The sequence below is a fragment of the Homo sapiens genome, chromosome 17, assembly GCF_000001405.40.
Source record: "Homo sapiens chromosome 17, GRCh38.p14 Primary Assembly".
In the NCBI taxonomy this organism is placed as follows: domain Eukaryota; kingdom Metazoa; phylum Chordata; class Mammalia; order Primates; family Hominidae; genus Homo; species Homo sapiens.
The window spans coordinates 48,368,042-48,390,710 of record NC_000017.11 but is presented as its reverse complement, the minus strand read 5'-3'; the positions used below and the strand labels follow the sequence as shown (position 1 = coordinate 48,390,710).

The window sequence follows — 22,669 nt, the reverse complement described above, 5'->3', positions numbered from 1 at the left end:
AGAGTGAAAAGGAGTTTGGGATTGTGAGCTAGAACACAGGCAGGTAACTGAACTTGCACCCTTACAGTCTGACTAACCCATTAGAATAATAAGCTGAGCCGTACTCTTTAACTGTATAGTTAGGTCACTGAAATTTGCTTTACTCCTGATAGAATTTTAGCCATCGTTATCACTTGGGCACATTCCTATTAGCTACTCAATATGGATTTGTCTTGGTTTCAGAAAATCCTGTGTCCTTTTTTTTTAATACGTGAAGCCTCACTGTCTGTAGATGGACTTAATTCATACATTGTGTGAAAAGATCATCTGTATGAAATTACTGCCTTCATTTTTATCACCATTTGCTTTGGCTTTGATTTTAAGTCTCATTTGATCTGGAGCTAGCCTTTTGTCCCAGAGCTATGCTATTTTCTCTGTTTAAGGAAAGCCAATGAAAAAGGCCTCTCTGTATTTATCTGTTTGTGGATTCCAGGAACCTGTGGCTTGGGACCTTACTGATGATGGTTTTCTCTAATTTGCATGTTTTCTCTTGTTTCTGATATGGACCCAGCCTGTATCCACTTTCTGTGTTACAGGGAAACTGGAACAGAGGGGAGGGAAATGCAAGAGCACTGGGCCAAGTGTCAGGAGCCAAGCCCTTTGTTCTGATGTTACTTCTGTAACACTGAGTCACTTGAAGATTCCCCTAATGATAATCTTATGTTTTCTTTTTAGGTTGCTTACCCAAAATGTTGTTTGGAATTATTTTTTTAAATAAATGTTCCAAAAATGCACACATTACCAACCAAACCTTAAAACTTCTATTTGATTTCTTTTATGGTACCCCCATGACTTTTTAAAAAATTTGGAATGTGATGCAGGAAATTTCATTTCTTGGGATTTTATTTTATTTCATGATTCTGTTGAAAATGAGTTGAGCATAAAGTGGGTTTTTATAATCACACCATGTGAATCATTTCTTCTTTGGATTCTGGATCTTCTCTCCTAGTGTGTAGCCTCCTCTAGTCTCCCTGAAGTACAGTGCTAGCAGGGTTGATAATGAAATGCAGTCCTGCTTATCACACTCAGCAAAGGGCTCAGAGAAGATGGGAAAAAAATCAATCCCACAGGAACTTCTCGAGTGCTAGACATCCATATTTAGCCCCCAAGCATTTAAAATGGAAATGAGATATCTTAGGGTTTTAGTTTTTGATTTACACAAGATGTCATTGCCTCCTTGGCAACAGGAATATTTTAGAGACCAACTGCTGACCTGTTTGGGAAGATCTCAGCCTATCGCCCCAGGCGTGATGTAGTTTCTTCATATTTCTTTCAAAACTCTCAGCAGTGCTTTGCAGTAGCTTTGATTCTTTGGGCTTCGAAGGGTGTCCCTTCCAGGGCCCATCTTAGGAAAGAAAAAAAAAATAGTGTAGGGGAACAAACAGCTCATAAAAGAGGTGCTATCCCTGTGGCAGCTCTTACTGTAGTCAGACAATTAATAGAGTTTACAAACCAGTAGTACTACAGCATGGCAAAGCCAAGAAAATTCCAATTTGATGCTGGTGCCTTGTTGTTGTTACAAAATCCCCACTTGTAGTGAGCCATTCTTAAATCGTCCAGCTTCTGGTAGTTTTTATCACAGTGTGGTTTATAAAAGATATGTTATAATTAAATGCTGAAACTCAAAGCTCCCTCTTGAGTTTGTGAGCCTTGTTGAGGTTCTCATTATAATTTACAGAAAACTTTATGGCCACATAATCTCCAATTAGCTATTTCTCCAAGTTATATTAGTGAGTGACTCTCATTTGTAAATTCTACCATAACCACAAGGCCCAAACAATTTGGTAATTTAGACCTTCTATCACGTTTACCAAGTGCCTTTGTTCTTTTGTTGATGAGAGAACTGGTATATGAGAAATTACTCAAAGTAGCAGAATTTGTTTAAATATTAGGATTTAGAATTTAGAATTTTATCTAGCCAAGCCATCAAAAAAATGAAGTGGCATCTTTCAAAGATTATTGGTTTTAAAAAACTGTAAACAAATATTGAAGTCTAGTTAATTATATGCATGCTGAATTGTTTGGGGATGGAGTGTTCTAATTTGAGCAGTTTGTTTTGGAATGTATAAAAAATAATATGGATGGAAGGATATATGACAAAGCAAATAAAATGTGAATCACAGCATATATCCACTAGATTGTGGGTGTACATGTGTGTTCTTTCAACTTTTGTGCAAAGTTGAAAATTTTCATAATATAAAGGTTTTTTATTGTTGTTTGTTTGTTTGTTTGTTTCCTGAGACAGAGTCTCACTCTGTCACCCAGGCTGGAGTGCAGTGGCGTGATCTCGGCTTACTGCAACCTCTGCCTCCCGGGTTCAAGTGATTCTCCTGCCTCAGCCTCGTGAGTAGCTGGGATTACAGGCACATGCCACCATGCCCGGCTAATTTTTGTATCTTTAGTACAGACAGGGTTTCACCATGTTGGCCAGGCTGGTCTCAAACTCCTGACCTCATGATCCGCCTGCCTCGGCATCCCAAAGTGCTGGGATTACAGATGTGAGCCACCAAGCCCAGCCCCATAATATAATGTTATAAAAAATATTTGATTGGTTTGACTTTGCATTTCAGGAACCATGGATTTTATTCACTCTGGTTTCAGAAAATCATAGACTGCCTCCATATGGGATATGGTTTTTAAAGATGATAATTTTCTAGGAATAATCTTATTATTTTTGGGTAATACTGAACTAGGGGATAATCCTCCAGTTTGTTATTTCTGACATAAGTAACAGGAAGTAGCTAACTTTTGTACTTCTTTAAAACTTCTAAACCAGCAATTATTAGGAGCTAAAATTCAATTCGAACATTCTACCTGGGATATCCTGAAATTTTGATTTTTTTTAAAAAAAGGAAAGGTAATTTCTGACTTTTCTCATAAATTTGATAAAAGGAAAGCTAATATGAGATTGGTAGTCCAGCAGGAAATGGAACTCAATTTTATAATTTAAAAATCATTTTATGGTATTAAAAATGACAGAGGTTAGAAACAAAGCTCTTATTCTTTTATTGAACTAGAATTGAAAGTGGCACAAAATCATTTTGGCCCTAGTGCAGTAAATGTTATCACTAAAACATGTTCAGGGGATATTAGGACAGTCTCTCAAGCACCAGAGACAAAAGTTCACAAAGCAAGAACTGATTTTTCTGTCCTTATCTTGAAATTATTAAATGTACAGGAGACATGAAGGTATCTTAGTTCTAAGAGGACTGGAGATGAAGTATATGTTGAAAGTGATAATATTTCCATTCTGGAGAGGTGAGATGGAGAGAAGAGATAGTGGCATGGGTGTCTTAGCAGTTACAGGCACGGTGGAGGGAAGAGAGTGCACAGGGATAGGAGGGTTCATGAACCAACACAGAGCTGAGAAATCCAAGACCACAAAAAATTATACTCATGCAATATTGTGAGCTGATGATGAAAATGGTAAGGAAGCAAGTGATACTATTCTTTAAAAGAATTGTGTGAAGATTATATTTAACAGGGAGATTAAACTGGGGCTCTCAGCAGCTACTTTATTTTGCGAATCTTGTAGGAGAAAAATGTTAAGTCCATTTGGGAAAAACCAATCATTTTTGAGTGTGCAGTGTGATTATGCTTCAGAATTTTGCATAAATGGAGCAGGTTGGTAGGCATATGTTTGCTGATCCTAAAATGGTTAAAATTCAGAATAAGTAAGACTCTTGTGAAATTGAGTTTTCAGGTTCCAGCCAGTGTTCTATGCTGCCATATGGCATAACTAGAATTAATTGCTGTTCTCAGTCTCTTGTTCTTCTACTGAATATTTAGGTGCCCTGTTTGAAATATTAGTGGTTCCACAGAAGTATTTAATCACATGAGATAGATGTTTGACATGTTCATGAAAGCAGTGTATGTAGCTAATAGTTGCTTAGAAGAAAAAGCCCCTCATGAGGTTTTCTAGCTTCCCTTCCCTGCTCCTGCCCCCATCCCCTAACTTGTTTTAATTAGAAAAATGGACACTGGATAGAAGGGTTAGCAAGGAAAGGAAGAAAGATTATCACGACTTTATAGGGGAGACAAGAAAAGATCAGACAATAAATTGCTTTCGCTAGTCTTTAGATCCTCGATACTCCAAGTATCAACATGGAACAGCAACCTGGAAACTTGTTAGCAATGCAGACTCTCAGGCTCCATTGAATGAGACCTACTTAATCATAATCTCATTTTAATAGGATCCTAAGTTTATTTGTACAGTATGCACATTAACATTTGAGAAGCACGGTTTTCACACATCAGATTCATTTTAAATTCAGTTTCTCAGAACTTAGAATACATATTTCTGGAGATCATAAGCTCCTTAAAGGCATGAATGGTCTTATAGTCACCAAAAAAAAAAAAAAAAAAGGTCTAGCATGGTGCTGGCATGTTGCATGAGTTCAATGATGTGAGTAAAATGCATGGTGAAAAACTGTTATAAATGTATTTTTAGGTCCTAGACTAGACCTGAGAACAACAAAAGACCCTCTTTATTAGGAAACTTACTATTTAGTAGCCAACCCTACATATTCTTTCCTAGAAATAAGGATGCTTTCTTTTTACTGAGTGTTAGGAGAGACAGAACCAAGGCATCCATCTCTTCACGTGTCTCCTCTAATAACATATCTCTAATATTCTAATTGGAACTGTGACAAAAGGTTACAGGGCTACTGACCATGTATTGGAGTTCTATCACAGCATGGATGCCAGGCATTCCAGCCATCTTTGAGACCTATCGACAGCCCTCTACATTTGGCCGGCAGCATCCCTATTCAGCTTTGCACTTCCTTGTCTCTACCATTTCTCCTCTTTCTTGAAGACCTCTTTTCTAACTCTTTCCCCTGTGTTCCCTAGAATCTACGTCCTGTTATAACCAAACCCCACAATATCCTCCACCTCTTTTCTGCATCCTAAAGGATGGTTCTCCCACAGGACCCTCTTTGCTTGCAGCCTTTTTAAATAGAATCTGCTCGTTTTCCCAAAGTGCTGTTGGCATTCTTCAAGCTCCCTGCTGCTACTTCTGGACTTTCACTATTCAATCTTGCTTCAGACCTCTCCCCTTTTAAAGTTTGTCTTTGTGGCTTTACAGTACCCTGTCCTTTTTTCATCTTTTGAGTTCAGAGTCCCCCCACACAGTATTTGAGGACTGAAGCATTGGCTCATAGTTGTTATCTTCACTCCATTCTTGATGTAGAGACTTCCTCTTTCTTAAATTTAGCTTTTCCTTCTTCATTATGTCTCTCCAATAATTATATAAATATACTCAAATTTCTCCTAATATTAATAAAATCATTGTGTCCTACACAGTGATTCCCTCTTTAGCTACTGTCTTTGCATCTATTTTTTTTTTTTATTTTGTGCAGGCAAACTTCTTGAAATAGAAGCCTAGAGTAGCTATTTCTGGCTTCCTGGTCTCTAGTCACTTCCCAGTCACTATTCAGTCCCCTTTAATCCAGCTTCTGCTCCTATTGAGCAACTTTCTCCAATGTACCCAGGTCTCCAATTGCCACAGCCAGGTGCTACTGTTAAGTCTTTGTCTTATTTGGTCTTTCTGTAGCATTTGACACTGCTGATCACATCCTTTTTCTCATAAATGTAAAAAACTCTCCATTGATTCTCATGAATTCTCCTGGTTTTCTTCTTCCTTGTGTTTATGCTCTTTTTTAGGCCCTTGAGCTCATTTTTCTACCCTGCCCTCTTTGCTCTTGTTCCTCAGGGTTTTCTCTTTCCTCACCACGTTCTCCTTAGGAGGCAGTTACATGCATGTCCATAGCTCCACAGCTTCCCCTGTGCATGGGAGACTCCCAATTCTACAGCTCAGCTGCAGTTCTCCCTCCAAGGCACCAGACAGCATATTGCATACCTCCTTCTGGGTGTTCCTCAAACTTCACAAAGCTGGGCATACCCTGCTGGATGCCTACTCAGCAGCCACCATCCCTTCTTCCTTGACAACAGAATCATGATCTATAAGCCATTCTGCTTTGCCAGTGCTTGGTCTAGAGTTTACATAAAATATTGTTATGGCCAAATAAATGTAAGAAGACTTCTGATAGATTCTCACAGGATAGTCTTATAGTTGGGAGATAGTAATACACTGAAATGCAGTAGGACGTTACTCTGCTCTAAGGTGTTAGAGCAGAAATATGGGAAGAGCCTGGCTCCTTCATGTCATCGTTGGGCCCTGCACAACTCTAGAATCTCCTGTCTTCAGACCTTTTGTTTTGTGGGAAAAATTAACTTCCACTTGTTTAGGCCCTTGTCAGTCAGGTTTTCTGTTATTTGTGGCTAGAAGAATCCTAACTGCTTGAATGTCCGGAACTGAACTCATTATCTTACATTCTGCTCACCCCTGAAGTCTACTTCTGCTTTCTCTAGGCCTGGGCTCCCAAGGCAAAATCCTGGGAGTCATTCCTGATTGCTCCCCCTTCACTCCCCAAACCATCAACAAGGCCTGTTGATTCTTCGTTCTAAATGTCCTCCTCTTTCTCTTCCCTTTGTCACTAGCTAAACTTTAGTCTTCATAAAGTCGTACTCAAGCACTGCAGAATTCTCCTTTCTGGTTCTCTGCCTCCAGTCTCTCCCTGTTCCAGTTTATTCTGCTCCTCCATTCCATGTTGAAAGAGCAAACTTTTTAAAAAGGGTAATTTATTCGCTGGCATGGTGGCTCACACCTGTAATCGCAGCACTTTGAGAGGCTGAGGCAGGTAGAGCACTTGAGGTCAGGAGTTTGAGACCAGCCTGGCCAACATAGTGAAACCCCATCTCTGCTAAAAAAAAATACAAAAAAATTAGCCGGGCATGATGATGGCGGGCGCCTGTAATCCTAGCTACTCGGGAGGCTGAGGCAGGAGAATCATTTGAACCTGGGAGGCAGAGGTTGCAGTGAGCCGAGATTGCTCCACTGCACTCCAGCCTGGGCAACAGAGCGAGACTCCATCTCAAAAAAAAAAAAAAAAAAAAGGGCAGAGATTTAAGAGTTGAAGGATATTCAGTTTCCAGGTGGGAAAGGAGTTGGGACTGACAGGGAGAGATGTAGGAAGAGAAAATTAGGCTTTAATTGTGCAGCCTGGCCTTGGGTCACTTCTGTGCAAATAAACAGCTGTCTTCCGAAGTGTTTTACTCTGTGCTTAAATACATACACATGAAAATGAAATTATTTTTGAGCCTTGTAAAATATAGCAGTACTTTGAGTTTTATTTTGTGATTATTTTTCTAAAATTTTTTTTTTAATTAAGGAAGTTGACTCTCAAGGCCTTCATTAGATGAGGTATCACTGACTGGGAACAACTTCCATTTTTCAGATGTTATCCCTTTGAGCTGCACTGAACTGACACAGGATGAATCCTTCATTAGAAGAGGATTATCTACACTCTGTGTGACTATTTAGTAAAACATTTGTATTTGTCAGACTACTTTTCCAAAGTGAGGGTGCTTGAGTAAACCATTCACTTCCTCCTTCTCAAAACATCAGTCACCATGATTGATTTTTATGTTGGTAATAAAGAGAAATGGAATCAACTAAAAGCCGGGTGAGGATTATAGACCGGAAGCAGATAATTTACTTAACAAATATGTATTGGCTATTTGTTTATGTCAGGCACTATGCCAGGTGATCAAGACAGTGTCAGATAAGACATATTCTTGTTTTTCAAGCAGTTCTTGGGCCAGTGAGCGGCTAGAGTCATCTTAGCTCCTCCATAGACCAGCATGGAGCCCACTACCCCCAGATAATCTGCTCTAGAAGGTTTGAAGGTTTGTTTTCAATTTATTACATGCCTGCAGTTTCACCCCTTAGAGATTCATTTGGGTTCAACGTCCTTTTTTAAAATACAAATTCACCTGGAGGGTGAAGATACTTTTGGTTGTTCAGTCATGTGTACTAGACCTGTTCAATGGTTTCCTTCCAACTTTTGGTTAAGATGGCTTCACTGAGGACATTCAGTGAAGTGGTTTTTTGAACCACTATTACAGGCAATGCACAGTGCTAGGTATACTGAGGGTTATAGAAGTAACAGAGGATGCCTTTTCTCAGACAGAATGAGGACTTTAGAGGTTCGTTATCTCTGCAGCTTAAGAATAACAGTCATAAAGACTATACTTTCAGGGATCATTTCTATAGTTAGTTGCTAGAGAAGTTTCTCTGGACATGTGGAGCACCAGAAACCATGAGAAGGAGATGTAGTGTTCTCTCCGGAGCATGAAGCTGGCTCTTGGTGTTGCTTCGCTGCACCTGCCATTTGCCATTGACAATCATTCTTCTCTTCCTCTGGGAGAGTAAGGAGGAGAGGACACAGTCTGAGTGGTTCCCATTTATGTGGGTTTTTTAAAATTATACTTTAAGTTCTAGGGTACACGTGCACAACGTGCAGGTTTGTTACATATGTATACATGTGCCATGTTGGTGTGCTGCACACATTAACTCGTCATTTACGTTAGGTATATCTCCTAATGCTATCCCTTCCCCTCCCCCCATGTGGGTTTTTTTTTTTTTTTAAGAATAATAGTCACAGCTAACATTCATCACACACATACCATGTGCCAGGCTCAGTGTCAAGAGCTTTCCTTACAACAGGTGTGTGAGGTTGATACTGTTATAATCCCTATATAGCAGATGAGAAAACTGAGGTTCAGAAAGGTAATCAACTTGCTCAAGGTTACATAGCTATTAGGTTCTAGAATTGGAATTTGAACCCAGCTAGTATGACTATTGGGAAAGCACTCTTATTGAGGCTCAACCTTGTCATAGAAAGTGAATAATGCAACTTCATTCATTCACTCATAGTTTCTACAAATGTTTATTGAACATATACTATGTGCAAAGCATTTTTGTGGTGAACACAACATAGGTCCCAGTCCTTCTGTAACTTATTTTTGAGCAGAATAAACCAAATCATTATACAATACACTTACCTTGTAGGGTTGTTGTTATGTACATAAAAGTGCCTAACACAAACATGTCACATAGTGGATAGCCAACAAATATTCCCAAGAAATTTATAACCTCATGGGAAAGATAAAAAAATCCTGCACAAATAACTGTAATTCAAGATATATTGTGGCAAGGTTTTAGAAGAGGCCATATTTTATTTTATTTTCCAGTTTTATTGAGGTATACAAAACACTGCACATACATAATACTGTAAAAGCCCAGAGAAGGAAATCCCTTCTGGTGGGCTTGAGAAGCCTTCATGGATGAGTTGGCATCATGACTTGGCCGTGGGGTGAATGGGATAGGTTTTTGGTAAGACACATTGCATGCAGAAATACCATGTGCTAAGACACAGAGGTGATAAAGTTTAGGCATTTTTGGGAACCAAAGGGTGATTCTGTTGATTAGGTAAAAGAGAGTAATGGGAGGTATGGCTGAAAAGACAAAATGGAACCAACTCCTGGAAATAAGAGTTTTGATTGGGTTTGAAGAGGACAGATAGGTAGTTTGGAAGAGTAAAGCATGAGGCAGTGATAGGTAAGCTGAGGAGGGATGCTTTAGTAGTGGATAACATTTGGGTCTTTGGCACAAGGGCTGAGGCCACTGGAAGGCAGAAAATGGTTGCAAAGAAAGAGCATAAGAATGTCAAAGGTTGCCTATGTTCCCTGTACCCAGAGAAGGAAGACAAATCTCCTTTGCCATACTTGATTTTATTTTTCAGTATCATTGGGTATAATTTGTATACAAAGCACTGTAAATAAGGAATGCATACAATTTGGTGCCCTAACCACTTTTCAGAATGTTATGTCAATGGGAAAATACATTCTATGGATATATGCTTCAACTTTCGAAATATGATTGGTCTGAAAATTAAAGACTGTATTCACAAATTTTCAGATCTGTTAACAAGATTTAATAGATTTTCAAAGCTGGCCCAGACAACTTTCAACTTTGTTTCATTAGGAAAATGTATTCCAAGGTCCAAACAACTGGAAATGAACTTTTAGAATACAGTCAATACTTGAATTGAGAGCTGCCTGTCTAGAATTTCCTTAATGGGCAACCACTGGTAAATATCTGTTTCCTTTATCGTATTTTCCAAAACTGCCCCATCATCAGGTTTTTTAACAAAAACCTGGGGATTTTGTTAAAATATATAGATTTCTAGGCCCCTACCCTGGAGATGCTAATTCACTAGGTCTGGGGTGGACCCTGAGAATTTGTGCTTCAATAAAAGGTCCAAGGGATTCTTAAGATCAGGAAAGTGTGTACAAATCTTTATCAGAATACCCTGTTTTTTGTTTTTTGTTTTTGAGGTAAGTGACTATTTTGGTTCTCAACTGAATTTTAACAATGAAGGGAAAATCTTTCCAGCAGGGCTTAAGAACTGTCAGTAGCTGACAACATTTCAGCCTGATTAGCTCCTGGGGTGAGGAGATGGGGATATGTTCATATGCTGCTCTGTGCTTCCTTGTGAACTGGCAACATCTCAAGATGTTTCTGATGCTGGAGAATCCCTCAAAGTGAGACAGAACTGAAAGCCCTGGTCCCAAGATGAGCCAGGTAAAGCCTGGGATTGACTGGTTGATTGTAATCGAAACTCTGAGGACCCCTGACCTGTACTGATATAGCCACAGAGCTGGTCACGTAGTCATTAGCTTTTAGATCAAAGTCCATTCCATTTTTTTATGGCTTGGATAATTGGGTACTTTATGTAAGGGTTTAATTATGACAAAGTAGTAAATGGGTAAGAATGATACTTTAGGCCGGGCACGGTGGCTCATGCCTGTAATCCCAGCACTTTGGGAGGCCAAGGCGGGCGGATGACGAGGTCAGGTGTTCGAGACCAGCCTGGCCAATACGGTGAAACTCCATCTCTACTAAAAATACAAAAGAATTAGCTGTGCATGGTGGCGGGCACCTGTAATCCCAGCTACTCAGGAGGCCGAGGCAGGAGAATTGCTTGAACCCGGGAGGCAGAGGTTGCAGTGAACTGAGATTATGCCACTGCACTCCAGCCTGGGCAACAGAGTAAGACTCTGTCTCAAAAAAAAAAAAAAAAAGAAGAAGATACTTTAGTATAGAATCTTTACAATTAGGGAAAAAAATCAACTTGAGGGCAAAAGCAATAATCTGGATTAAGTAAAATGGTACGAATTTAGGAAAAGTGTGAAATAATTTTAAAATGATTTCTGGATTTCTGTATACATCTCAGTTCTTAAATAGAAGAAAGTGTACACATAAGGATAGGCATTTTATGAAAATGTCAGTAATTCATTGTAGTTCTTAGAGTGGTTACCAGTAGAAGCTGGCTTTCTAAATTCTGTTATTTATTGATTCACATTTTGGTGTAGTGTGAATGAGTGAAATAATGTTATATCTTTAATTAGGATTCTGTTGTTATTTTTCAATTAATCTATGTCAGTAACTTTAGCATTTGTATTAAATCATTTTCTTCATGAAAGCTTCTAATGAGGAAACAAATTGATTGTATTTATATATTGGATTCTTGCCACCGCAATGTGTATTCAGTCGTGTCTTTTGAAGTATATTTTTACTGGTCATTTTGTGGTTTGTCTTTGAAGCCAGGCTTTGGGGGAAAAAATTCTTCATTTGGATGAAGGTTTCAATTTAACAAAGCTTTCTTATTTTTGTCTCTCTTCTTTTTCATCCCTTACTTTGATTTTCTTTCTTTTTTCCCCTCTTGACTTTGTGTGAGTGATTTAGAGGAAAATGAAGGCACCCCAGCCCCACCTTTTTGGAATAAAATCCATACTTCATAGCATTGCCTGGAAGTGCCTTGCCCTTTGCCTGCCTCTCCAAGCTTGTCCCTACCCCTCCCTGAAATGCTCTCTTATACTGAATGAGTCTCATACTGAACTCAGACAGCCCTTCCTGCTTCTTACCTCCATTCGCTGATTTAGCAAACATTTATTGAGCACAAGCTCTATGCCACTGCCCCTTGAGGGCTCAGTGACAGAGAGACAAGAAGATGCTAATACAGTATTATAGGTGCTACTGAGAGGCATGCACAGATGTGCTGTGGGAACCCTAACATAGGACACTTAGCTGAGCCTCAAAGGATCATGGAGGGTCCGCTAGGAGAAGAAGGAGGCATGAAAGGAAAGGTTTGCTGGCAGAGGGTGCTTGAACAAGTAGGCAGGAGTGTGAACGGGAGCCGGGGAGGACCTGAGAGCTGAGGTGAGCCATGGAAGGATTTCAAGCAGGAGAATGATAGGACCAAGCTGGCCTTTTAGGTCATTAAGATAATGAAGGTGCTAATGACTAACAGCTGACATTTATTGGAGGTTTACCAGGTTCTTTACGTGCATTACCTCTGTTAGTCCTCCCAAGAACCAAATGAGGCAGATGTGGTTATTATTTCTGTTTTAAAGATGAGGAAACTAAGGCTGCAGCAAAAGTCTCAGCTAGAAGATGGAGGAGCTGGGACTTCAACCCAGACCTGTCTGCAAAGACTTTGCTCTTCATGCTCATTCCATTCCCTTTTTCATCAGCACTGAGGAGAGTAGGTCAAAGGGAGGAGGATGAGGGCAGATGGACCGTTTGCGATGTGGTTACATGGATGTGGGTGAGGCCTTTTGAAAGCTCAGATGAACTCAGTGTCTGCAGAGATGGAGAGGAGATTGATTAAAAGGTTATTAAGGGAGTAGAATCTACAGGTCTTGGTGACTAATGGGATATATATAGTAATAGAAAAAGAGGTATAGGGATGATTCCCAAGTTTCAGCTGGGTGGATAGTAATATCATCCATTGAAATAGGGAACACAGGGGTAGGAGAAGTTTGGGACCTGTGGGACAAAGGACAGTTCTACTCCTGAAAGAGAAGAGTAATGATATCTCCTGCTTTTGAATGTTTTAATGGACTAAAGTATTTAATATATGCAGGCACTATAGTGAAGTCTTTGGCAATTGGTTTCTTCTCTGGTCAGCCTGAGCTCTATTACCTATCCCTCTAGTCCTCTAGTCTTCTCTGATTCTCTTGTCTTTTCATCCCACAAGCCTAGAAAAATCCTAATCTTGGATCATCAGTTCAACTGTTCATCTTCTCTGTTTGTATATCTGGAAAGCTATTCAGTTCTGGAGAAAAATTGCACAATTGGATTGTGCCATAGTAAATGTTTTTATTTAATTTTTTTTTTTTTTTTTGAGACAGGGTCTTGCTCTGTCACCCATGCTGGAGTGTAGTGGCACAATCATGGTTCACTGCAGCCTCAACCTCCTGGGCTAAAGCAGTCCTCCCACCTCAGCCTCTTAGGTAGCTGGGACCACAGGTACAAGCCACTACACATGGCTAATTTTTTTTTTTATTTTTTCTAGAGATGGGGTCTCACAATGTTGCCCAGACTGGTCTGAAATTCCTGGACTCAAGTGATCTGCCCACCTTGGCCTCCTAAAATGCTGGAATTATAGGCATGAGTCTCCATCCTGGCTGCACTACAGTAAAGTTTAGTCTTCAACCTCAGTCGAACCCTTAGTGATAACTGGTAGTTATTTCACATGCTCCACATCAGCAACCTTTTTCCTTAATTTTTTTTCCTCCGCAAACCCTTGTCAGTCTTTACCTCATCATATTGCTTCTCACTCTTTCCATGACGTCACAGCCTACTTCACAAGAGAAAAGAGAGGCTCTCAGGTTGGAACCTACTCAGTATCCTACCCTGTCCCTTACTCAACATAACTGCTTTGGGGTGCTAGGCTGGTCCTTTGCCACCTTCTCTTCTTCTGGACCTGGCCCCTCTGCCTGACCTCCCTCTGCATCTTGGGCCTGGCCTCTCTGTGACCCGACCCTCCCCTTCCAGGCTTCTCTCTGATCTCGAATCCTCCCTTAGCAACTCTTATGTGCAGGCAGTAAGACATTCTGGCATTAGTCAGACATGGGTTCTTCTGGTCCCAGTTTTTACCATTTGCATGTTCTGGGCCAATTACATCACTTCTACACAATTTGATTATTTCGGCCAAACTGGTCCACAGTTGGGTTTTCTGTGCTCTTAGTCCCTCACAGAGTGTCTGGCAAATAGTGGAAATTTATTCATCTCTACTACTGAGAGAACAAATGCAGTATTCGTAACTTGAGATACAGAGACTGTGTTGGCATGTTAATGCTGAGATATCCACCTTGCCTAGATGAACTCTAATAACTAATCCAGCTTAAAAATTTTTTACATAACATTTGCCTTCAGGTGAATAATATGTCCATGTTCATAACAAGGAAAATATCAAAGGCATGATAGCCGAGTTTTTCCAAGGAGGTTTTAAATGTTTTTGTAGAAATTGTCTCATTTTTAAATGAATATCACATTTTTGAACTTGCCCCTGATTCTGTACAAGATAAACTGTGGTGGCCCCACAGTGTGGACTTTTAAACTCCTATGGTGCGATCAGATAACCTCTCCATGCTTCATTGTTCTCATCCGTAAAGTGAAGGCTAGAGTAAATGATTTTAAGTGTCCTTCCAGCTGTAAAATTCAGTGAGTATATGGGCCACAGTCACACATTCACTCAGCTACCAGTTATTCACTAATCAGATAATGGCGTCTCAGTGGTCGAAGAGTAGCTGTTAACCTGAAGCAAGCAAAAAATAAAACAAAATTAGGTTTTTAAGCGTCAACAGTGACAAAAATGACAGAGCAAGGGCCAAAGAGACAACAGTTTAGAATACAGTAATCAGCTGGAGTTATTTGTACATAAGCAGTACCTTGTTTTCTCCAATACACAAGTTTGGAACCGAAAGGCGTCTCTGACTTTCCTCTTGATGCTCTCCTCCTAGCCAGTCTCTAAGTCTGTTATCTAATGTCTTGTCTTTTCTCTTGCTCTCAAGTAGCTTCCTAAACTATCTCCCCACTTTTCTCCCTCCCATCCATGCTACACATCTCTGCTGGATTTGATGTGGACATCATTCTTTATCCTTAAAGACAAACAAACAAACAAAGAAACAGACCTTTCAATGACTCCTTTTTATTTACAGAAAAAAACCCTCCAACTCTGACCTGTTGTTTAGTGTTTTTATTTTGCCATAATGTATTTGGCTAGCATTTTTCCTTTATTAGTTCATCGAATTATAGTTTGTTGCCTATTACATGGAGGAAGTATGGGGATTGTGTAGACATACTAGTGAGATTTGCTGGTGAAAAAACAGTCCTCATGCTAGAAAGTAGGGGAAGGAATGTTAGAATGTGGGTTTCCAGTGTTGCAATCAGAAAGCTTAATCACTCACTGATCAAAAAGAGTTCTTAGGTTTCTTAATGTTTATACTCATGGTGGGTGTTTCATTGACCATAGCAATGATTCCATGTAGCAAAAGTGTTATAGGAGACTCTAGTGTTAAATAGTACTTTAATTTCTTTTCAAAATTTAATTTCTTTTTTGCTGTCCAGGAATGGACTTAAAAATTGTGGTGGGGGAGCAGGTGATGAGTTATACTGTCAATCTCAGATAATGTTGTTTATTATTTAATATAAGTTTGATTGTGATCATTGTATTTAGTAGGTAGGTGAACATTGTATTATCTACCTAGATGGGCTTGTAAATATAGACTCAAGACCACAGAAATATTACATCCCCCAAAAGAACCCGGGACCTTCTTGTGATATGTTCTTCTATTACATAATTGAGTTATATGCCTATTGTCTGTTGTTACAGTAGTATTTATCATATTAGATTGTCATCTCATTATATACAAAGAGCTAATATTTTGGACTAGATTGTAAGCTCCTTGTAGGTAGGCATTAGGTCTTGTACTTTTGGTGAGATTAAGGAATTGGGACTAGAAGGATCACCAGCTCTTCCACCAAAGACCTTCCTTTTGCTGCCCAGTTGTTTCTAAGGCTGGTACCTGGACCCCTGGGTCCCAGGCCTTGGATGCCTCCACTGGGGACTTCCACCAGATGGTGCTGTTTTCCCATTTCTGTTGTTGGGTGTCACTGGCCATGTTACTCTTTGCCACTAGTCCATACCTTCTGCAAGGTAGTAGATGGGACACTTTCAGAAGATAATTTGGAAGCAATGTGAATCTTTCCAAGTGAGAAAAAGAATTATAGGAAATATTTAGTGTACAGACTCTTAGCATTGCTCAGCAAAGCCATTTCCTTGGGCATAAATAAACTTCTACCATGTGGCTGACTGCTCAAGATCAGTTGCAAGGGGTTTTCCTAGCCTTATCAACTTGCATGGAATCCATGCCCAACTAGGTGTCCGTCTGAATCCTAAGATTCCATTTTCAATGCAGGATAACTCTTCAGTGTTAGCCTTTGCAGTCTGTTTGGAGACAGCCATTATCAGAGAACAGAGATGGTCAAGAGAGAGATAGAAGTCTTTGGACACTGAGTATTGCAGACAGCCTATGCATTCAGAAGGCATTGCTGTTTTAGTACAAAAAGGAAGTTCAGGCTGAATGCAATGGCTCACATCTGTAATCTCAGCACTTTGGGAGGCCAAGCAGGCAGATTGCTTGAGTCCAGGAGTTCAAGACCAGTCTGGGCAACATGGTGAAACCCTGTCTGTACAAAAAAAAAAAAAACAAAAATTAGCCAGGCATGGTGGAGCGTGCCTGTAGTCCCAGATACTCAAGAAGCTAAGGTGGAACGATGGCTTGAGCCTGGGAGGCAGAAGTTGCAGTGAGCTGAGATTGTGTCACTACGCTCCAGCATGGGCAGCAGAGCAAGACCCTGTCTCAAAAACAACAAAAAAGAGAAGTTCAAATTTGGATGTCCTTAAGTCATTAAGAAGAGATTTGATTTTGTTCAGCAGGAGTTTACCAAGGCAGAGAGTATATGATGTGTTTTAAATTTCCATAAGTCACAGGTAAAATAACACTTTTAATACTTCAGTTGCAAAAAAAAATTCATCTAGATGTTCTAGAGTTATAACATCACAGATGTTGGCCTTTCTGGGTAGCTAGTTTTATAATGCCATTACAACTCTATTCACCTAATTCAGTGGGTCATATCATTTTTGGTGGGTGTGGGGCAAGGGTGAGTTATTGACACTAATGAGGTCTATAGACTCTTCTCCAAGAGAAAAGAAAACAAGTGTTACATTTCACCCACAATTTTAGAGAGTTTAGGAAATCCCCTGAAGCCTAAACTATGGACTTCAGGTTAAAGACCTCTGTCTAACCACTCCCTAATATTCATATTAGGGTTGATTCATGCCCATAGGCTATCTAACAAAACAACTGTATCTTCTCTTAAGTACCAGATTTATTTTTTTTTATATATTACAGCCAATAGGAAAGCAGTTAATATGGAATTTAAGAGCTTGGGCTCTGGAACCAAGTAGACCTGTGATATGGTTTGGCTCTGTCCCCCCACCCAAATCTCATCTTGAATTATAAACCCCACATGTCAAGGGAGGGACCTGGTGGGAGGTGATTAGATCGTGGGAGCAGATTTGCCCCTTGCTGCTCTCATGATAGTGAGTGGGTTCTCACAAGATCTGGTTGTTTGATAAGTGTCTAGTGCTTCCCACTTCTCTCATGTTCTCTCTCTCTCCTGCCACCCTGTGAAGAAGGTGCTTGCTTCCCTTTCACCTTCCACCATGGTTTTAAGTTTCCTGAGGCCTCCGCAGCCATGTGGAAGTGTGAGTCAGTTAAACCTCTTTTATTTATAAATTACCCAGTCTCAGGTAGTATCTTTATAGCAGTGTGAAAATGGACTAATACAACCTGGATACAAATCTTGGTTCTGCCACTTAGTAGCTATGTGATCTTGGCCAAGTTGTTTGACCTTCCTGAGTTTGAGTTTCCTCATGTGTAAAATGAGGATAATAGTAGTCCTGGGCTGGGCATAGTGGCTCATGCCTGTAATCCCAGTGCTTTGGGGAGGCCAAAGCAGGAGGATCACTTGAGGCCAGAAGTTCGAGACCAGTCTGGGCAACATAGTGAGAATTTGTATCTACTAAAATGAAAAATAAAGGAAATTAGCCAGGTGTGGTGGTGCACACCTATAGTCCCAGCTACTTCGGAGGCTGAGGCAGGAAGATTGCTTGAGCCCAGGAGTTCAAGTTTACAATAAGCTATGATTGCACCACTGCATTCCAGCCTATGTGACAGAATGCAACCTTGTCTTAAAAAAATACTGACCTCCTAGGGTTTTTATGAAGATTAAATAAAATAATACATGTGCCGGGCATGGTGGCTCACGCCTGTAATCCCAGCACTTTGGGAGGCCAAGGCAGGCAAATCACCTGAGGTCAGGAGTTCGAGACCAGCCTAACCAACATGGAGAAACCCCTGTCTACTAAAAATACAAAATTAGCCGGGCATGGTGGCACATGACTGTAATCCCAGCTACTCGGGAGGCTGAGGCAGGAGAATCACTTGAACCTGGGAGGCGGAGGTTGCGGTGAGCCAAGACTGCACCATTACACTCCAGCCTGGGCAACAAGAGCAAAACTCCGTCTCAAAAATGAATAAATAAATAAAATAACACATGTAAAACATATACCTAGCACAGGGCCAGACGTGGTGGCTCATGCCTGTAATCCCAGCACTTTGGGAGGCTGAGGTGGGTAAATCACTTGAGGCAAGGAGCTCAAGACCAACCTTGCCAACATGGGAAAACCCCATCTCTACTAAAAGATAAAAAATTAACTGGGTATGGTGGCACACGTTTGTAATCCTAGCTACTCAGGAGGCTGAGGTACGAGAATCGCGTGAACCCAGGAGGCAGAGGTTGCAGTGAATGGAGATTGTGCACTGCACTCCAGCCTGGGTGACAGAGTGAGACTCTGTCTCAAAAAAATATATATGATGTATATGCATATGTATATGTGTATATCTAGCACAATGCCTAACATGTAAGTGCTAATAAATGTTAATCATTTTTTTATAATTGGGAAATAGAATTATTTTTCCTTTCTTTTTTTCTTTTTCTTTTCTTTTTTTTTTTGAGACAGGGTCTTGCTGTGTTACCCAGGCTGGAGTGCAGTGGTATGATCATGGCTCACTGCTGCCTCAACCTCACAGGCTCAAGGGATCCTCCCACTTCAGCCTCCCAAGTAGCTGGGACTACAGGCATGCATGCACCACCATGCCTGGCTTTTTTTTTTTTTTTTTTTTTTTTTTTTTTTTGTGGAGACAAGGTTTCACCATGTTACCCATGGCTGGTCCCGAACTCCTGGATCCAAGCAACCTACCTGCCTTGGCCTCCCAAAGTGCTGGGATTACAGGTGTGAGCCACCACACCTGACCAGTATTTCTAATAATATGAGGATAGCTACAGTTGTTTGTCTGACCTGTTTCATCAGGATCTATCTAATTAGCTGACTGAGGGAATAAAGCTCTGAGTACTTTAATCTCAATAACTATGTTCTTTGGTTAGCTCCATGGCCAAGAATCTGATATTCTCTCCCTTGCAATCTGTTGATTTAGATTCAGTAGCCCTATTTTCAGCAGAAGCCTGACAATGTTTTCTGTGAATTGTTTATTTTTTACAATTTCAACTTTTATTTTGGACACAGGGGGTACATGTGCAGGTTTGTTACAGGGTATATAGTGTGATGCTGAAGCTTGGGATACAAATGATCCCATCACCCAAATAGTGAGCATAGTACCCAATAATTTTTCAACTCCTACCCCTCTTTCTCTTTCCCCATCTCTATTAGTCCCTAGTATCTATTGCTCACACCTTTATGTTCATAAGTACCTAATGTTTAGCTCCCGCTTATAAGTGAGAACATGCAGTATTTGGTTTTCTGTTTCTGCATTAATTTGCTTAGAATAATGGCCTCCAGCTGCATCCATCTTGTTGAAAAGGACGTGATTTCATTGTTTATTATGGCTGCATCATAGTCCATGGTGTATATATGCCATATTTAAAAAAATCTAATCCACTGTTGATGGACACCTAGGTTGATTCCATGTCTTTGCTATTATGAATAGCACTGTGATGAACCTACAAGTGCATATGTCTTTTTGGTAGAATGATTTATTTTCTTTTGGATATATACCCAGTAATGGGATTACGGGGTTGAATGGTAGTTCTGTTTTAAGTTCTTTGATAAATCTCCAAACTGCTTTCCACAGCAGCTAAACTAATTTACATTCCCACCAACAATGTATAAGTGTTCCTTTTCTCCACAGCCTCACCAGCACCTGTTGTTTCTTGACTTCTTAATAATAACCATTCTGGCCAGGTGTGGTGGCTCACGCTTGTAATCCGAGCACTTTGGGTGGCTGAGGCGGGCTTGAGCTCAGCAGTTTGAGACCAGCCTAGGGCAACATTGAGAAACCTTGTCTCTACAAAAAATACAATAATTAGCCAGGTGTGATGGCACGTGCTGCTCCCAGCTACTGGGAGGCTGAGGTGGGGAGGATTGCTTGAGCCCAGGAAGTTGAGGCTGCAGTAAGCCATGATCACGCCACAGCACTCCAGCATAGGTGACAGGGCGAGACCCTGTTTCAAAAAAATATAATAATAATGATAGCCATTCTGATTGGTGTGAGATGGTTTTGATTTGCATTTCTCTGATGATTAGTAATGTTGAGCATTTTAATATATTCGTTGGCCACTTGTGTGTCTTCTCTTAAGAAGTGTCTGTTCATGCTTTTTGCAAACTTTTTAATGGCGTTGTTTTTTACTTGTCCGATTAAGTTCTTTATAGACTCTGTGAATTTGGGGTGGCAACCTAGAACTGTGTGTTTGCAGTATGAAAGATACTGAAATATATCTGTAGACGAATCATATCTATTATAGTCATCATTTCATCCATAGTACCTGGGCAAAGGGCTTGTCATAGAAGACATTCAATAAATATTGAATTGGTTGACTGAGTCACTGAATTATTTTAGAATAGTAAAATATCTTTAGAGAAAGACTCAGTTAATTTTGATGATTGTTTTAATTGTTAGATTATATTTTCAAGACTTTCCTCCTTAGTTTCTCATTAGAGGTCCTGTTCTGAAACTGATTGTTGGTGGTGGAAACTTGTCCACTTGTCCATTAGCTTTCTTATGATGGGTAAGTTATTTAATCCTTGATGCCTCAGTTTTCTTATTTAGAAAATGGGCATAATAATAGGGTTAGAGTGTGAGGAAATGGGTTAATGTAAGAAAAGTGCTTAGAGCAACATCCAACAAAATGTTCAATAAATCTTAGCATTGTTATTAGCACTACTGTTATTACTACTACAGTGACTGCTGCTTATCAAGATTCCCTCAATACTGTGGGTTCAATTTATTTGTACCTTTCTCCAAACTAAAGTTCATTTTTTATTTTTTACTTTTTTTTTTTTTTGAGAGAGGGTCTCACTCTGTTGCCCAGGCTGGAGTGCAGTGGTGCAATCATGGCTCACTGTAGCCTCAACCTCGCAGGCTCATGCAATCCTCCCACCTCAGCCTCCTCAGTAACTGGGACTGCAGGTGCACACCACCACACCCAGCTAATCTTTGTACTTTTTGTAGAGACAGGGTTTTGCCATGTTGTCTAGGCTGGACTCAAACTCCAGGGCTCAAGCAATATACCCACCTTGGCCTCTCTTAGTGCTTGGATTACAGGTGTGAGCCACTGCATCTGACCTAAAGTTCAGTTAAAACATCTTTATTTTATATTTATTTATTTATTTATTTATTTATTTATTTTGAGATGGAGTCTGTCTCTGTTGCCAAGGCTGGAGTGCATGGCGCGATCTCGGCTCACTGCAACCTCTGCCTCCTGAGTTCAAGTGATCCTCCTGCCTCCGACTCCCAAGTAGCTGAGATTACAGGCATGCGCCACTACGCCCAGCTAATTTTTTTGTATTTTTAGTAGAAACAGGGTTTCACCATGTTGGTCAGGCTGCTCTTGAACTTATGACCTCCGAAAGTGCTGGGATTACAGGCGCAAGCCACAGTGCCTGGCCAAAACATCTTTAATTTGAAAACACAAATAGCATACTCTACAATTTAATACTAAAATTTTAAGACTGTTCTGTAGCTTAGAGAAAATATTGTGAAATTTTATTCTTCCATTTTCACTTTTGGAGGCATAAGTGAAGATGGGTTTATTTTTACTGAATGTAAAAATGATCATCATCAATATGGTTGCAACATTCTCTCTCTGCTCGTTCTGTACTCATCATTTTTCAGTTCCAAATATCATTTGCATCGTCCTGATGATATTGAGTATGGATATTGCAGAGGAGTGATAGCTTCCCTTTCCTATTGAAGCTGAAGCTTCAAAGAGAAGATTAAAGAAGTGTTTGTTATCTATCTGCACAGGCCTGATATGAAATTCTCAGAGGCTTTTAGGATAAACACAACTCTGTATGTGTGCATTTATATGCTTTTTCTTATGTATACTTCTATTGTGGTCTTTGTATTTTGGTTTAAAATTTCTAGTCTCAGACTTGTTGGACTCTCTGGCTAACAGAGAATTGTTTTCAGAAAAAGGGTAAGAATTGGAAGATGTTGGCAGGATTTTACTAAATCCCTCCTGAAGAGTATAGAATTCTCTATTGTGGAATTATATTTCTAGAGAACATGATGAAGGCCACCCAGGGAATATCTTTAACAAGACAAGACCAAGATCTTAAAGGTGTCCAGCAGGGACTAATCTGTGGTGCCCTCCAGTGAGGGATGTGATTGCTCACCTTTTGGGCTTTCCTTTTAGAAGTGTTCTTTGTGAGCTTTGGAATAGAGGTGTGGCTTTTTTAAAAAACAAACTCCCTATAGGGTTAATCCATAAATAATATTTAGAGAAAGAAGA

At 40.1% G+C, this 22,669-nt stretch overlaps 1 protein-coding gene and 1 non-coding gene across 10 annotated transcripts in view, besides 1 other annotated feature; both read left to right on the top strand.

Moving 5' to 3' along the window:
* The window catches only part of SKAP1 (src kinase associated phosphoprotein 1), a 311,620-nt gene that overhangs the window by 54,351 nt on the left and 234,600 nt on the right, over nt 1-22,669 (top strand). The gene's annotated exons all lie outside the window — the stretch shown is intronic.
* Nucleotides 8,125-8,340, top strand: LOC124904151 (small nucleolar RNA U3). The gene has a single exon (XR_007066021.1). It is a non-coding gene; the product is annotated as a small nucleolar RNA U3 (small nucleolar RNA).
* Nucleotides 22,010-22,304: a silencer, noted in NCBI's record as "tiled region #12941; HepG2 Repressive non-DNase unmatched - State 23:Low". NCBI's record gives its function as "represses a minimal TATA promoter and a strong SV40 promoter by Sharpr-MPRA in HepG2 cells {active_cell/tissue: HepG2}" and the evidence as "EXISTENCE:reporter gene assay evidence [ECO:0000049][PMID:27701403]".